Source organism: Homo sapiens, chromosome 5, assembly GCF_000001405.40.
Source record: "Homo sapiens chromosome 5, GRCh38.p14 Primary Assembly".
Lineage (NCBI taxonomy): Eukaryota > Metazoa > Chordata > Mammalia > Primates > Hominidae > Homo > Homo sapiens.
Window position 1 is genome coordinate 173,570,672 of NC_000005.10, and position 16,971 is coordinate 173,587,642.

Here is a 16,971-nt window from a genome sequence, read left to right on the forward strand (position 1 = left end):
CTTGAGCCTTTGGGGGTCTAGGATGAGCTCCTCCAAAACCCTGGGTCCATTTAGATTTGGGGATGACTTGGGGTTATTTGCCCATTCAGCCTCTGCCCTCCGCTAACCCTGGAGGTGAAGGGCTGGGGCGGGTCAGGGACACACGTGATGCGGGGAACCTGCCCCAGAACAGGGTCAGCTGCAGTTGTGCAGCTCCTGGCCCAGTCGCCTTCCTTCGTGACATGCCACCTGCGGCCTCGGCTCTCCTGCACACCTCCTTTCCTTCCTGTCCCGTGAGGCCCTCACGGCCGTCCTTCCGTGACTGCATCATGACCCTGAATTCTGCTCTTGGACCCCAGGGCGTGCAGGCCTTTTGTAGAATACTCCAGACAGAGGAACTTCCAGATCAAGTGTTGAAACTCAAATTAGCCATAGCTCAGACGAACATGGAGGAGTGGGAAGACCTCAGCCCCTATGTAGGCAGAAAGACCTGGGTTTGGGGAGGTCACTGGTACCTCATACCTGGGCAACCTAGCATGGGCTCTTCATTTCTGAGAACTCTTTTCCCTACATGTTCTTCCTCCATAGGCTTGTAGAGGGGATTAAAACAGGGTGACCCCTGCAACCGCTTAGCCCAAAAGCCCAAAGCTGCTTCTCCCTACAACCTTCTCTTTAGTTTTCGTTTTCAGATTTTTCCTGATTATCCCCAATTTTATGAATAATAATTATAACACTTATTTGCTAGACACTGTACTAAGTACTTTATACATGTCTACTCTTTAAATACTTACCTTGACTTTTTTGCAGATAATCAAGTCAATGTGTAGGTACACTTTTGAAATTAGTAAGTGCCATGGTTTGGATGTCTGTCCCCTCCAGACCCCATGTTGAAATTTGATCCCCAATATTGGAGGTGGGGTGAATGGGAGGAGTTTAGGTCATGGGGGCAGATCCCTCTTGAATAGATTAATGCCCTCCCTTGGAGTGAATTCTTGCTTGGCTAATTCCTTCTAGAACTGGTTGTTAAAGAGCCTGGCATCCGGCTCCCCACTCACTTCCTCTCTCACTACGTTTTCTCTGCATACCAACTCCCCTTCACCTTCCGCCATGAATGGAAGGAGCCCATGGCCCTCCCCAGATGCAGATGCCCAACTGTGAACTTCTCCAGACATCAGAATCATGAGCCGAAGAAAGCTTTTTTCTTGGTAAATACCCAGGCTCAGGTATCACTCTACAGCAATACAACATGGACTAAGACAGTCAGTGTGCTCATGCAAATAGCATATCAACAGCCACCTGTGCACTTGATAAAAATGCACATTCTCAGGCTTCAGCCCACACCTGCTGAATCAGAAACTCTGAGGTGGGCCCAGCAATCTCTGTGCCCACATGACCTTCAGGTGACTCTGATATGCACCCAAGTTTAAGAACTATGGCCTAGTTTCCCCGTGTACTCAGCTACCCTATGTGATTAATACAGGCTGAGTATACCTTATCTGAAAGGCTTGGGACCTGAAGTGTTTCAGGCTTTGGATTTTCAGATTAGGGATGCTCAACCTGTAATTACTACTAATAATAGTAAACGCTTATTTGGCTCTTGCTATGTGCCAGGGGCTCTGCTAAGTGCTTTGACATGGAGTGTCTTCCTCATTCTCAAAGCATTTGATGAGGCTATTAAAGTCCTCATTTTACAAGCAAGAGAACAGGCACAGAAAGGTTGGGTGACTGTTTAAGGTCACACAGCCTCAAGCATATGCCTCCTTTTCCACAGTGGTTGTAATGATGACAGGGAGGCAGGCAACATTTTACATAATTTTTTAAAAATTTATTCCCAGAAAGCCTTGCAATCTCAAGGATTTTTTCTTAAAAATGGTAGTTGACCAGAAAATGTAATTGATGGGAACTGGCCCATTCTCAGGGCATCTGGATAATTTAGGTTTTCCTGTGGTCTAGGTGGCAAAGCCAGATGCCTGCAGGGCCAGGCAGGAGACATAACCCAGTGAGGTGGTGCCAGGGTGAGGACTGTGGTGAGCTGGAGAGTGTATGCCCAGTCCAGGGGGAGCAATGGCTGGCTCCACAGCTCTAGAGAGAGGGAGGTGTTGTCATGGGGGGATGTGGGTGTCTTTTACCTTATTTTGTAAGAAAAAAACCAACAGGAATCTGGGTGTTATATGAACTCTCCCAAGTTTAAAAAACTCAGTGTTAAACTCTCTGCATTCTGTTTTTTCAGACACCATGAAGGCTGAACAAAGGATATCTGGGGGCAAAATCTGACCCATGGGCTGCCCATTGCCACCTCTGGGCAGCCCTCCTTGATGGTGTGGAGTCCGCGGTCCGCATTGGTTAACTTAACTGTGCTTCCTCAGATCCAGTCTGGAATTAATTATTGAATTGTATGCATTTTCAATGCCATCCTCAAGCTAACAGCCAACTATGCGGGGGAATAAAACGGAGCAGAGAACCGAGTTGGGTTCCAGAGACCCCAGATTGTCTTCATTTGCAGTTGCCAGGTTCCCTGCAGCCCGGGTCTGTGGATTTCCCGCGGCTCAGCGCCCGCAGCTCAGGCTCCGTGGAGCCCGGCGGCATGGACGAGGCGTCGCGCGCGCCCTCTAGTGGAGAAAAAGGGTCACTGCCGAACGCCAGCTGCGGACCGTCGAGAGTTCCTTGGGCCATGGCTCCTGCCGGGAGCAGCAGCCCTGGGGCCGGGATCCAGGATGCAGAGGCGAGAAAATGAACTGCCCGGCCACCACGAAGACAACCCACCCCTTGCCAGTCACCCCTCAAACTACTGACAATGTCAACAACAATAATTATAACAATCATATTAATAAGTAGAATGACAAATATAATAATATTTAACAGTTTGTGATTTTCAGCCCACAAGGTTTCGCCTACTGTGTAGATTACTCGGGACTCTGCAGGCCAGTAGGCCATGTATAGATGGACAGAAAGAGGTTTGTTATCAGAAATGGGCTCACATGACTGAGGATACTGTGAAGTCCCACGACCTGCTGTTTGCAAGTAGGGGATCAGGGAAGCCAGTGGAGTAGGTCAGTCCAAGCCCAAAGGCCGAGAACCAGAGGAGCCGACGGCCCAGCTCAAGCAGAAAGAGTGGCACTCACCCTTCCTCTGCCTTTTGTTCTCTTCAGGCCCTCAGCAGATTGCAGGACGCCCCGACACAAGGAAGGGCGATCTTGACTCAGTCAGTCCACGGATGCACGCTAACCCCTTCCAGAAACACCCTCACAGACACACCTAGAAATAATGTGGGGTTTTTGGTGTTTTACTTTTAATTGCATTTATTTTAATGCCGGATGTATTTCCGCGTTGCCAGCTCCTGAGCATCTCTGAGCCCAATCAAGTTGACACATACAATTAACCATCACGCTGTGTCAGTTCAATCATTAAAAATACGCAACACTCAGCCGGGCGCGGTGACTCACGACTGTAATCCCAGCACTTTGGGAGGCTGAGGTGGGTGGATCACAAGGTCAGGAGTTCGAGACCAGCCTGGCCAACTGGTGAAACGCCGTCTCTAATAAAAATACAAAAAATTAGCTGGTCGTGGTGGCAGGCACCTGTAATCCCAGCTGCTCAGGAGGCTGAGGCAGGAGAATCGCTTGAACCCGAGAGGCAGAGGTTGCAGTGAGCCGAGATCACGCCATTTCAGTCCAGCTGGGAGACAGAGCAAGACTCCGTCTTGAGAACAAACAAACAAACAGACAGACAGACAAAAAAACACGCAACACTCTATTAACGCATGAATGTATTCTCACCGAACAAGATTCAAACAGTATGAATGAACATATTGCAAATGTTTTTAAGTGTTTTTGAAAACTTTCATTTTGAAACAATTTCAAACTTAGTTGAAAAGTTGCAAGGATGGCACAAAAACCTTCTATTAATACATAGCTTTTAGCAGGATTCCTCAGTTGTTAACAATTTGCCACATTTGCTTTATAATTTTTGCTCTGTCTCTACATACTTTTAAGATCTGAGCCATTTGAAATATAATGCCCCCTTATAATAGTTCCGTGGGTCTTTCCTAAAAACAAGTCATTATCTTCCATAATCCAGTACAGTTGTTCAAATCAAGAAAATTAACATGGATGCAATAGTATTATCTCATCTGCAGACCTTCTTCAAATTTCACCAATTGTCTCAATAATACCATCCTTTTTAGCATTTTTTTGGCTGATTCCCACTACAAACTATGAAAGCACAAATGTCTCTCCTCTGCCTTGCCCAGAGGTTCCTCTTTCAATCATAGGGGAGGTGCCGATAGGGTCTGTCTTTCATTTTTCTCAATGGAAGCACATTCCCCACTTCTCAATTTGCCTTGGGAGCTCTTATTTCAATCTCTTCTCAATCCTTCGAAGCAGGACTCCTCCCTAGCCATATTCTACACAGAAGGAAACAGAAACTCAGCGTGAGGACGGCTCCTGCCCTGCGACCTCAGGTCCCCCAGCTGCCTTGCTAAGAGTTGAACCGTGCCCCCAGCCCCTACCCTGATACATTTCAGCAAATTGATATGCAAGGCCCCTTTCCAGGCCCTGGGAACATGAAGAGGAAGTTGCTGATGGCTGTGCTCAAAGACTTCCCAGGCTAGTGCAAGGGACAGGAGAGGGCGGCCCTGCTGGAAGCTCAGTGAGGAGCCCTGCGGTGGGGAGTGGTTGAAGCCGTTAAGTCCTCTGGTGACCTATGGGTGTGGAGGCTGGACCAGAGGGCCTTAAGGGGTAGCCCTGCAGGTCCCAACCCCATTCTTGGTGGAAGTGTTGGCTGAGGTCTCTGGAGTTGAGTGGGGTGGCAGAACTGGGCACTCTCATGACAGGAGAGGGGGGATGGGCAGGAGAGGTGTTCAGAAAAGGAGTGCAGGGAGGGCGGAAGAGCCGCTGTGTGAGTTTCCCCCAGCCCCTTGAGCAGCTGTGGGCCTCCTGCCCAGTCCCCATGCTGGGACCGAGAGGGCAAAGCGTGCAGAGAAGGCTGCACACCCTGCAGCCTCAGCCAGCGCGTGATAGGGGAGCTCTGGGCAGGGACAAAGCTGCAGTCCCTGTCCCTGAATGTCGGGGCGGGGGGGGGCGGGGATAGAAAGGAGAAAATGGGGCAGAGAGAAAAGAAAGCGGTGGCGTGCACATGCCCAGGCCCTTTGCTCCACTTTCCATGCTATATGAGACACTTCCCAAAATTCACACTCCCTGGGACCCTGAGGATGGGGGCTGTATCAGAGGAATTAATTCAGTCACAGGAGGACAGGAGTCCAGCTCTGACTCAGTCCCAGTGGAGCATCGTAGAAAACCGACAACCAGTGTCCAAGGAGCCCACTTTGGTGTCTGATGGGTCACCAGGAAGAGTTTATTAGATTCCTGAAAATCATAAGTAAGCATCCCTGCTTTGTGGAATTTCAGTTGGTGAGTGACAATGCCAAGTATGCAATTTGTCCTTCAACTTTTCATTTATGCCACACCGCGTGCTGGGCTCTCTGCAGGTGCTGGTGAAACAGACATGAAAAGGCACAACCCCTGCCTCGGGATCTGGTGGCAAGATCAACAGGTAAACTGCAGGTCTGATACGGATTGACAGGTGCCACTCAGAGTGAGTACGGGTGGCAGAAACTCAGAGGGGTCCGCCTGCCCAGTCTGGGATTGGGAAAGGCATCTGATTAGTTTCTCATGGCTGTTGTAACAGATTACCACTACCTTAGTGGCTTAAAACAACATAAATGTATTCTCTTATGACACTGAAGGTCGTTAAGTGTGAAATCAGTTTCCCTGGCTATAGGTGTCATCTGAGCTGGTCTTTTCCGGAGGCTCCAGGGGAGAATCGCTTCCTGGCCCTGTTCAGCTTTGGGAGGCTGCCTGCATCCTTGCCTGCAGCCCCCTTCTCCTTCTTCAAAATGCACCCCTGCAACCTCTGCACCCAACATCACACGGCCTTCCCTGCTGCACTCAAATGCCCGTCAGCCTCCCTCATTATGGACACTTGTGATGACATTTAAGGCCCATCTGGATAATCTAGGACACTCTTGCCATCTCCACATCCTTACCCACACCTGCAAAGTTCCTTTTGTCATAGAAGGTAGCATTCCTGAGTTCCAGGGATTGGGACATGGACATTTTGTGGTGGGCATTAGTTGGCCTGCACAGCTGCCTAGAGCAGACATCTCTGCAGCGGCAGGCCAGAAGAGTGAGGGTGCTCCTGGGTGAGGGCCTTGGTGGAGTGGCAAAGGCAGGGAGGGAGAAAGCCTGGCATAGTCAGGGAAGGACAGATGAGCAGGAAAGGCTGGCAGGGGCCAGATCTCATAGGGTCTTGAAATCTCAGCTTAGTCCTGAAGGAATTGCGTCTTGCACAAAACCTAAACATTGAGTGAAGGCTGTTGTCTCAGCCAGGGCCCTAACAGGACACAGATGACACACTAAGATGGGTAACTGAAGTGTGGGTTGATAAAGACGCTGTCTGCAAAGGGGTGGACGGGGTTAGGGAAGCCAGCAGAGCATGGAGCATGCCTGGGACTGACACAGCTGTGAGGTGCTACTGTCTCTTTGGGGAGCTGTGCCTACCCCTAGACCCGAAGAGAGGAGGCCAGGGAGTGGCTATCAGAACCCAGAGAGGGTGGCTGTGTGGAGAAGCACATATGAGTCTGCAGTAAAGGGACACAGCCTACCTGTGGTAACCTGGCAGGGAAGGACCGGGGGTAACAGATGTCCAAGTCCATTCTTCCTGCCCTGTGAGGGCCTGCCCATGCTCCCATTGGCCAAACCCCACTTGAAGCCAGAGAGCAAGAGTGATTGTCCCCATGGCATGGCTGGGTGGGCACAGCAGGGAGGAGGAAGATGGGGTGGGGACAGAGACACCCAGCGCAGGTGTCACATGGGGAGTAGCACCACCAGATCATTGTGGAGAAAGATCACACTGGCCGTGATGTGGAGGGTGGACCCGAGTGGGACAGAGGAGGAGGTGGGGAGGTCAGGGCATTCCAAGTGATTTAAAAAGCACATTAAAAAATGCATTTCCCTAGTTAGGGGTCCATTTACCCGAAGAGGTATCTGGGATTGTTCTGCTCCCAGCTGTGTCTGGTAGAGTGGAATTCGTCCCAAAGTTGCTGTTATATATCACACCAAATGTCTCCCTTGCAAAGGTGCAGCGCCAGTAGAAGGCCTCAGGCAGGCTTGGTTGCAAACAACAGAAACCACTTGTATTGAGTTTAAGCAGAAATGGGATTTATCACTGGCTACTTGGGGGCCCCAGCATCTTTTGAATGACCTGGGAACTGGGCTCTAGAATATGGCCCAAACGTGCCACCTACTGCAGAGCAGCTCCAGGAAACAACACGGCAGCCTGCCCTGAGTAGGGCAACTGCAAAGGGGCTTCCAATGTCGCCTCCCCGCCAGGGTGGAGCCCATGGGACCTTGCTTCGTCCTGGAGCCCCTGGCTCTGAATCTGAGTCTGGTGCAGGTACATCTGTATGGTGAGTTTGGTCACATGCCTGCACCCTCCTGTCTGAGAAATAGAGTTTCTGGCTCCTCTAGACAGTCAGGGACTGAGGAGGCAGGAGCTCCCCAAAGAAAAGATGTTTGAAGCACTGGACAAGAAGAAAGCGGGACGAATGTTCATTACAGGTAAATAAAGGTAAATTACTTTAAAGCTCAGACCGTCAGGTATCCCAAGGAGAGACGGCATGCGTGTGAGTGTCATGTGTGTGAGTATCATGCATGTGAGTGGTTCCATCCTTAGGAAGAAAAACATGGGAGGAACCTGCAGTGTGCAGCCTCTGTCCAGACCCACCTGCTGAGGGGCCCAGGCACCCCAAAGTATACCCTAAATATGATCAGATCCAGGGAGCATTGTGACTGAGTTTTCAGGTTAGCCTCTGTGCAACCTGACTTCCCATGGGCAGGGTGGAGTGCTGGGAGCATTGATTCAATTCTTCCCTTGAGCACTCTTCACCCCCATCTCTCTCCAGAAATGTACCGAGAGTCTAACTGCTCTATACTCTGGGAGGAACACGAACATGATTCCACCTCAGTTCCAAGCTTTCTGAGAACCATCCTGGGAACCAGCAAGCATGACAACTCTCCACCTTCTGCATCAGTCACTTGCAAGGAGGCCAGTGGGCACAGTTCATGCTACTGAGTGAGATGGCGCCCAGAGGCCAAGGCCAAGGGCAGGGCTGCATTTTCTGGTTCTTTTATATTTGTAGCAAGATACTCTTAGTGGAAGAGCCCAATATCTGGGCTTGCCTAAAAGTCTCCTTAGCTAGATCATTCAATTTATGAGCTTTCCATCTTGTTGCAGTGTTGCTTAATTTCTGCCTCTCCATAACAAGAATCACCTTTCTTCCAGTCTCTAATGCATTGTTCTCACTTTCCTATAAACCCTCACCAACATTCTCCTCCCACTACTGGCTTCTCCAGTGCCCTTTAGGCTTTCTCTGACACTTTCTTCAAAGTCCTTTCAGCTTCTGCCCTCTGCTCAGTTCCAAAGACGCTCCCACATTGGTAGGTTTATGTTCCATCAGCACCCCACTTCTGGTACTAAGCTTTATATCAGCTATCTACTGTTAGGCAACAGCCAAAACTTAGTGACTTAAAACAGACACAAACATATATTATCTTTCACAGTCTCTGTGAGTCGGGAATTCAGGAACAGCTTAGCTGGGTGTTCTGGCTCCAGGTCTCTCATGAGGTTGCAGTCTAGATATGAGCTGGGACAGTGGTCATCTGAAGGCTGGAATGAGGCTGGAGGATCCACTTCCAAGGTGGCTGACTCAGATGGTTGGCAAGTTGGTGCCGGCTGCGGCAAAGGCCTTGTTTTCTCTCCAGGTGGACCTCTCCACAAGGCTACTTGAGCAGCCTCACAACATGGTAGCTGCTTCCCCAGGGCAAGTGATCCAAGAGCAAAGGTTGAAGTCACAATGCCCTTATGACTTAGCCTTGGATGTGACACACCATCACTTCTGCAGTATTCTACTGGTAACACTGACCAGCTCTGATTCAGTTTGAGAAAAGAGGACACAAAAGCATGAATAACAGGAGGTAAGTTTCACTGAGGGCCTGTGGATCATCTGGGAGCTGTCTACCACCAATAGTCAAAAGAAAAAATTAGGTATAAATATATGCATACGTGTGTGTATATATATATGTATGTATAATTTTAAAAATATATATTTATTATAAAAGTAATTAATATTATTTGTAGAAATTTAAAAAAAATTTAGAGTAGCAAAAATAAGACAGTAAAGATTACCCCATAATAGCTCCATGCAGAGAAAAATCATTATCAACATTTTGGGGTATATCTTATCAGCCTGAACTTTAAACATTTTTACAAAAATGGAATAATACTGGACAAAATCTTTCATGCTATCAATTTTTTCATTTACTAGTACAGTCAAAAACACAGTTTTATTGCATCTTTTTTCATGGTAACATTATATTCCTGCCAGTGATTAAGATGTAATTGATTTTTCCAATGCGCTATTACTGGACATGTAAAGGTTCTCAAATTGTTACATCATTAACAAAACTGGAATGACCATCTTCAGAGCTAACTTGCTGTCTTTATCCCTGATCTTTCCTTAGGATGGATATAGAATACCAGCATCAGCAAGTGTACACGATTTAAAGCACATTTGGTATCTATTACCAAGCTGCCCTTCAGAGAGGTTGTCTCGTTACACATTCCACAGCTGTGACTGAGAAACCGTCTTGTCGCATTTGACAATCCAGGTTACTATCTAAAAACTTGAGTTTGTAAGAGCAACACGCCATGAGATAATATTCGTGCAAATGTAACTGACAAAAGACTAACATCCCATAATACTAGAGCACCTACAAACCAAGAAGATAAACATCCCATTGGGAAAGTGTAAAAATATGAACATAAAGTTTACAGAAGAAAAAACACAAATGGCTCATAAACACACAAAAAGATGATATTGCTTCCTGGTAATTGGGGAAATGCAAACAAAAACTACAATGAAATATCGTGGTATCGTGTATCAAATTTGCAGAGCATAAAATAGATTACATTCGCAACCAGCAACTACAACCCAACCTTCAGCCTCACTGGACTTCTTGCCATTCCCCAAACCATATCCACGCCCCTCTCCACAGGCTGTTCCTTCTGCCTGCATGCCCTCGATGGCACCAAGGGGGATGGGCACACTAACACAACTGCTGGGAATGGGAAAGTTTCAACCTCTTGGGAATAAAATCTAACAGTATTTATTGGAATGTAACCTGTGCATACTCCACAGCTGGGCCACTACCCTGCAAGAACCCCTCTGGCTGCTGCACAAAGCTCTTCTCTGCATCCTTTTTTATACTAGTGGAACCCTGGACACAGCCTGCATATGGATCAAAAGGGCAGTGGTTATAAATATACTATGGTCCATCTCTAGGCTAGACTGTGATGCAGTGGTTAAAGCCAAGTATTGCAGAAGAGTGATTAAGCATTCGTGCTCCAAAGCCAGATAGCCTAGGTTTCAATCCCAGCTTTGCCACTTACTTGCTGTGTGATCTTGTGCAACTCACTTAGCCTTTCTGTGTCACAGTTTCTCCATCTGTATAACGGACGATAACACTAGCCCCTACCTCATAGGGTCATTGTGAAGAGTAAATGAAATTAATATTGCCTATGTCACAGAGTGATCCTCCTCAAAATCTATTAGATGAAAAAAGAAATTTCTAGAAATTATCTACATACATATTCTGATGGGATTTGTGTAAAGAATTTAACCAACAAACCCATATTACACACACATACACACACACTCACACAGACACACTCACACACACACACACGCACTCACGTGCGTAGAAGTAGATCTAGGAAGATCCATGACACACATGCGAGGCAGGTGAATGGGGACATTAAAAGGAGGACTTCCACGTTTAATTCTGAATGGTCTATTTTATTTGTGCAATTTTTAAAAATCAAAGCAATAAATCACTGTAAAAGAAACCTGCCAGGTTTTGAGTCTTACCATTCTACCCCGGGCTCACCCTTCTCTCTCATTGAATCTCAGGTGTCTTCGGGATCATTTAGTTTAGAAGAGGAAGAAATGTCCCTGGACCCCACCAGTTGAACACTAATGCTCCTTTGGGGATTGCGCCCTCACTGTCTCTCTAAGCATCTGTGGATTGGGGTCTTGTCCCTGCGGGCTCCTCCCGCCTACTCAGAGTGCGCCCTCTGGTGGTGATAACTTGCAGTACTGCGCGCCCACAGCACGTGTGGGGAAGGCGAAAAGCTTTGCTGATTCTCCCAGGGGCCTCAGCCCAGGAGCCCTGGGCTTTGACTCTGGGTCTAGTGCTAGTGGTGGTACCAGATCTCTGTCCCTTGTCGAGGAAGGACACTCTCTATTTGTTTTTAAGTTGTCTCTATCTAGGATTGTCAGATTTAGCAACTAAAAACACAGGATGCCTGGTTAAATTTGAATTTTAGAGAAATCACAAATAACTTTTAGTATGAGTATGTTGCATGACATCTACTAATTTTACACAACTCATACTTATATTAAACAAAATTATTTGTGGTTTCTCTCAGGCTTAAATTCCACTGGGCGCCTGTGTCTTATCTTGTGACTGTGGGAGGAGATCTGTTGGGAAGCGGGTAGGGGAGGTGGTGAGAAAGGAAGGGAGAAGGCCTGGGTATGGTGTGTGATGGAAGGGCACGATGGTTCAGGCGAGTCTTTGGTTGCAGGAGACTGTAAATGGCATCTGCTCTCCAGGCAGCTGGAGCTGTCAGGCTGTAGAACAATGCTGCTCAGCCCTGGGAGCTTTGAAAACCTGACGTGTGGGTCTGATTCCCACAGATTCTGATGTCATTGGTTTGGTGGCATTGGGGTGAGGGTAGGCTCTGGCATTTTTTAAAGCCCCAGGCAATTCAAATGTGCAGCCAAGGTTGAGGACCACTACTCTAGGGGATCTGCAGTGTGTGCATGTGTGCGTGTGAGTGTGCATGTGCGTGTGTGCGCATGTGCGTGTGTGCACCCACTCGTGTATCCCAGATGCCTTCAGCTTGCATATTCCCAAGTTCACCAGTCTGGGGTCCTTCCCGAGAGCCTCCCAGTCCACATGTTATGGAAAAGCCTTGGGCCCTTTCCAAGATGTTTCTAGATTCCCCCAGGGCTTATATTTTACTGGTCATCCCTGGCTCTGATTTCCTGTTCACACTGAGCACTCCCATCTCATTCCTTTCTTCCCCCGGGACTGTGTTTTCTTTCTGCCTGTCAACTTAATGCTGGTCTTTCAATGACCACCAGCAGCTCACAGCTGTCAAGTTTAGCAGATGTTTCCTGCAGGTCTGCAGTTAACAAGAGGTGTCATCCCCAAAGTAAATGATTCTACACTGAAGTCCCCATCTGGGCGGGGAACTCCTGCTAGGAGGAATTTATCACTGGCCATTTCCTCCTCCAATTCCCTCTGCCTCATTTTTACTTCTAGGCCCTCTCATTCTCTTTCAGAAATCACTTTGTCCCCTCCCAAAAAAACAAAGAAACAAAAACAGAAACAAACCCTTCTTCCTCTAGCAGTCAGCATGCAGCTGCTGATCAAGTTCCAAATTGCAGTTCCTTTCTTAATCAGAACAACTCAACTCATTTTTCCTATACCTCTCCTATGTGTCCAGGTATTTCCGAGAGTGATGCATGCTCCTTGGGAAGCATTGGGAATTCTGCACTTCTGGGCCAGCCAGCTCCAACTGCAGCCAATGTTTAAAAAATAGCATCTCTCCCTTCCTTCTATATGTACAGATCTTCAGGGATTTAGCAAATTCTCTTAAATAGCTAGAAGACCTTGCTGACTTCGATGCAAATATTCTGGCCAGAGAACTGAGGTCCTTGGATGAAACCCAATAATCAGAGGGGTCACAGTTTCCTTAGCCCAGGAGGAAGGCAGCTGGTGTCTCAGCAGATGTTCCTAAAGGCCTGGCTTTTTCCACATCTGTTCTGTGTGGTAGACAAGGAGAAGAGGAAGGGAGGAAGGGAACAGAGAGGAAGCAGAGAGAGCTGAAGATTAAAACAATACTGTACAGGTCCCCGCTAAAGATGGACTCTCTGGCTGCCAGGAAAGGACTGAGAGATAAATAGGAGGAGCATAAGAACCTGGGAGCTGGAGGCTGGTCCACCTCCCTCAGCTTCCAGGACCCAGAGGGAGGCAGGCACAGCCAGCCTTGGCCCTGTGGAACCAACACCTTCCAGCCAGGCTGCCAGGAAGCCAAATTCCAAATGTCTAAACTGTATTTTGCACTTTTCCACAAGGTGACCTGCAGCTGCTCTGATGGCCCCTAGGATTCTGTAGGGTACTGTGCAGTCCAGAAAACTTGACTTCCCAATTCTTCCCACTTAGCCAGCTGCCATTTCCTTCCCTCCTAACCACTTTCCTTCCTATTCTTTTCCCTCTGTATTTTCCCCCTTTGTTTTAAAAGTTCAACATGAAACTTTACTCTGTACACTCATCAGGTCAGCAAAAATTAGAAAGTCAGCTAATGCCAAGTGTTAGCTGGAGTAGGGGGGGAAGAGGAACCCTTGTTCTCTGCAAGGGAGTATGAGAAGGTGCAGCCACTCCGGAGGCTGTCTGATGGTGCTGGTTCAAGTCGACTGCGTAAGTCTTCTGCCCACAGCAATGCCACTCCTCGGTATGCGGCGCAGAGACACTTTTTGTCCAAAAGGGGCATGTGGGGAGGTGCTCATTCAGCATTGTTTCTGGCAGGGGCGTTGGCCACTCAGGCACCCATCCCTGGGGAAGACAGAAGTAAATGTGGTGGGTGTACACCTTGGAGAAGCATCTATCAGTCAGAAGCAAGGAAGGGGATGTCCACACAGATTTAGGTAGCTTACGTTAGACACTATGTTCAAATTCAAGGACGCACATCAGATACACAGAAAGGCTGCCTGTGGGGGAATTCGGACTGCAAGTGGAGAATGGGGACTGTAGTGGATTGAAGATGGTCCCAAATTCCTTGTCACTCCCTGCATGGAGAGGTGAGGTGGGGTGCCCTGGGCAGGCTTGTGACTACTTGACCAACAGAATACAGCAGAAGTGGTGCTTGTCAGTTTCCAGGCCTGGGCTTTTTAGAGGGTGGCAGTTCACTTCACCTCTCTTAGGACACTCTCTGGGAGCTTGAAGCTGCCATGTAATCAACTGCCCTAATACCACCAGGTTGCTGAAACCATGTTCAGGAGCTCTGTTTGTGGTCCTAGCTGAGCCCAGCCTTGCAGCCAGCCCCCACCAGCCAATGTCACCAGACATGTAAGTGAAGCCATCCTGGGATCTCTAGACCAGCCCAGCACACCTACAGGCTGATTACCATGGAGTGACCTCCGTTGGCACCACATTCATCAAGAGAATCAACCAGCTGAGTCCTGCAAATCCAAATCCACACAACTGTAATATGATAAAGTATCTAACTTTGGGGGTATATATTAGCCTGTTTTCATGCTGCTGATAAAGGCATACCTGAGACTGGGAAGAAAAAGAGGTTTAATGGACTTATAGTCCACATGGCTGGGGAGGTCACACAATCATGGTGGAAGGTGGGGAGGAGCAAGTCACATCTTACAAGGATGACAGCAGGCAAAGAGAGAGCTTGTGCAGGGGAACTCCTCTTTATAAAACCATCAGATCTCATGAGACTTACTCACTATCATGAGAACAGCACAAGAAAGACCCACCCCCATGATTCAATTCACTCCCACTGGGTCCCTCCCATGACATGTGGGAATTGTGGGAATTACAATTCAAGATGAGAGTTGGGTGGGGACACAGCCAAACCATATCATTCTGCCCCTGGACCTTCCCAAATCTCATGTCCTCACATTTCAAAACCAATCATGCCATCCCAACAGGCCCCCAAAGTCTTAACTCATTTCAGCATTAACTCAAAAGTCCACAGTCCAAAGTCTCATCTGAGAAAAGGCAAGTCCCTTCCACCTATAAGCCTGTAAAATAAAAAAAAAAAATTAGTTACTTCCTAGCTACAATGGGGGTACAGGCATTGAGTAAATACAGCCATTTCAAATGGGAGAAATTGGCCAAAACAAAGGGGCTACAGACTCCATGCAAGTCTGAAATCCAGTGGGGCAGTCAAATCCTACAGTTCCAAAATGATCTCCTTTGACTTCATGTCTCACATCCAGGTCATGCTGATGCAAGAGGTGGGTTCCCATGGTCTTGGGCAGCTTTGCTTCTGTGGCTTTGCAGGGTATAGCCTCCCTCCTGGCTGCTTTCATGGGCTGTTGAGTGCCTGCAGCCTTTCCAGGAGTATGGTGCAAGGTGTTGGTAGATCTACCATTCTGGGGTCTGGAGGACAATGGCCCTCTTCTCACAACTCCATTAGGCAGAGCCCCAGTAGGGACTCTGTGTGGGGGCTCTGACCCCACATTTCCCTTCTGCACTGCTGTAGCAGAGGTGCTCCATAAGAGCCCCGCCCCTTCAGCAAACTTCTACCTGGACATCCATGCATTTCCATGCATCCCCTGAAATCTAGGCAGAGGTTCCCAAACCTCAATTCTTGACTTCTGTGCACCTACAGGCACAACACCACATAGAAGCTGCCAAGGCTTGGGGCTTCCACCCTCTGAAGCAACAGGCTGAGCTGTACCTTGGCCCTTTTAGTCATGGCTGGAGCAGCTGGGACACAGGGCATCAAGTCCCTAGACTGCACACAGCAGAGGGACCCTGGACCTGGCCCACAAAACCATTTTTTCCTCTTAAACCTCTGGGCCTGTGATGAGAAGGGCTGCCACAAAGGTCTCTGACATGACCTAGAAATATTTTCCTCATTGTCTTGGCGATTAACATTCGGGTCCTCATTCGTTACTTATGCAAATAAATTTCTGCAGCCAACTTTAATTTCTCCTCAAAAAATGGGATTTTATTTTATATTGCATTGTCAGGCTGTAAATTTTCCAAACTTTTATGCTCTGTTTCCCTTTTAAAACTGAATGCCTTTAACAGCACCCAAGTCACCTCTTGAATGCTTTGCTGCTTAGAAGTTTCTTCTGCCAGATACCCTAAATCATCTCTCTCAAGTTCAAAGTTCCACAAATCTCTAGGGTAGGGGCAAAATGCCACCAGTCTCTTTGCTAAAACATAACAAGAATCACCTTTGCTCCAGTTCCCAATAAGTTCCTGATCTCCATCTGAGACCACCTCAGCCTGGATTTATTGTCCATATCATTATTAGCATTTTGGTCGAAGCCATTCAACAAGTCTCTAGGAAGTTCCAAACTTTCCCATATTTTAGTTTCTTCTTCTGAGCCCTCCAAACTGTTCCAACCTCTGCCTGTTACCCAGTTCTAAAGTTGCTTCCACATTTTCAGGTACCTTTTCAGCAGTGTCCCACTTTACTAGTACCAATTTACTATCTTAGTCCATTTTCACACTGAGATAAAGAATATCTGAGACTGGGCAATTTACAAAAGAAAGAGGTTTAATGGGCTTACAGTTCTACATGGCTGGGGAGGCCTCACGATCATGGTGGAAGGCATGGAGGAGCAACTCACATCTTACGTGGATGGTGGCAGGCAAAGAGAGAGAGCTTGTGCAGGGGAACTCCTCTTTATAAAACCATTAGACCTCATGAGACTTATTCACCATCATGAGAACAGCACAAGAAAGACCTACTTCATGAACTCGGAGTTTCTGTAGCCTTCTTAATGATAATATGATAACATGATGCTATTATAATATATATTTAAATATTTAGTGTTTTTTTTCCAGGGTGAAATCTACTTATATATTATCCTTTTTCCAAAGCAGCATTTTGAAGAATAATGGTTGCTATCAACATTTTTGTAGATAATTAAATTACTAGAACATCAGGAATTTTTTCCCTAAAATTTCTTCACAGAAAAAAATTATTGTCAAAATTCGATACCTCTGAATTAGTTGAGAGAAAAAAGACTATATGAATAGAGCATAAGTTCTATTTTTTAAGTGTGTTAATTTAGATCCTATCTTGTTCCAAAAATAATTTGGGATGGCTTACACA

The 16,971-nt window shown here is 47.4% G+C and overlaps 1 long non-coding RNA gene across 2 annotated transcripts; it reads left to right on the forward strand.

Annotated features, from left to right (window-relative positions):
* The first annotated feature begins 8,962 nt into the window (after positions 1-8,962).
* LINC02995 (long intergenic non-protein coding RNA 2995) lies at positions 8,963-14,397 on the forward strand. Of its 2 annotated transcripts, NR_027108.2 has the most exons (4): positions 8,963-9,011; positions 9,558-9,704; positions 12,607-13,237; positions 13,439-14,397. It is a non-coding gene; the product is annotated as a long intergenic non-protein coding RNA 2995 (long non-coding RNA). The 2 variants fall into 2 exon arrangements; NR_027109.2 differs by lacking the exons at positions 12,607-13,237; positions 13,439-14,397 and having other exon boundaries at positions 9,558-10,941.
* The last annotated feature ends 2,574 nt before the right edge of the window (positions 14,398-16,971 follow it).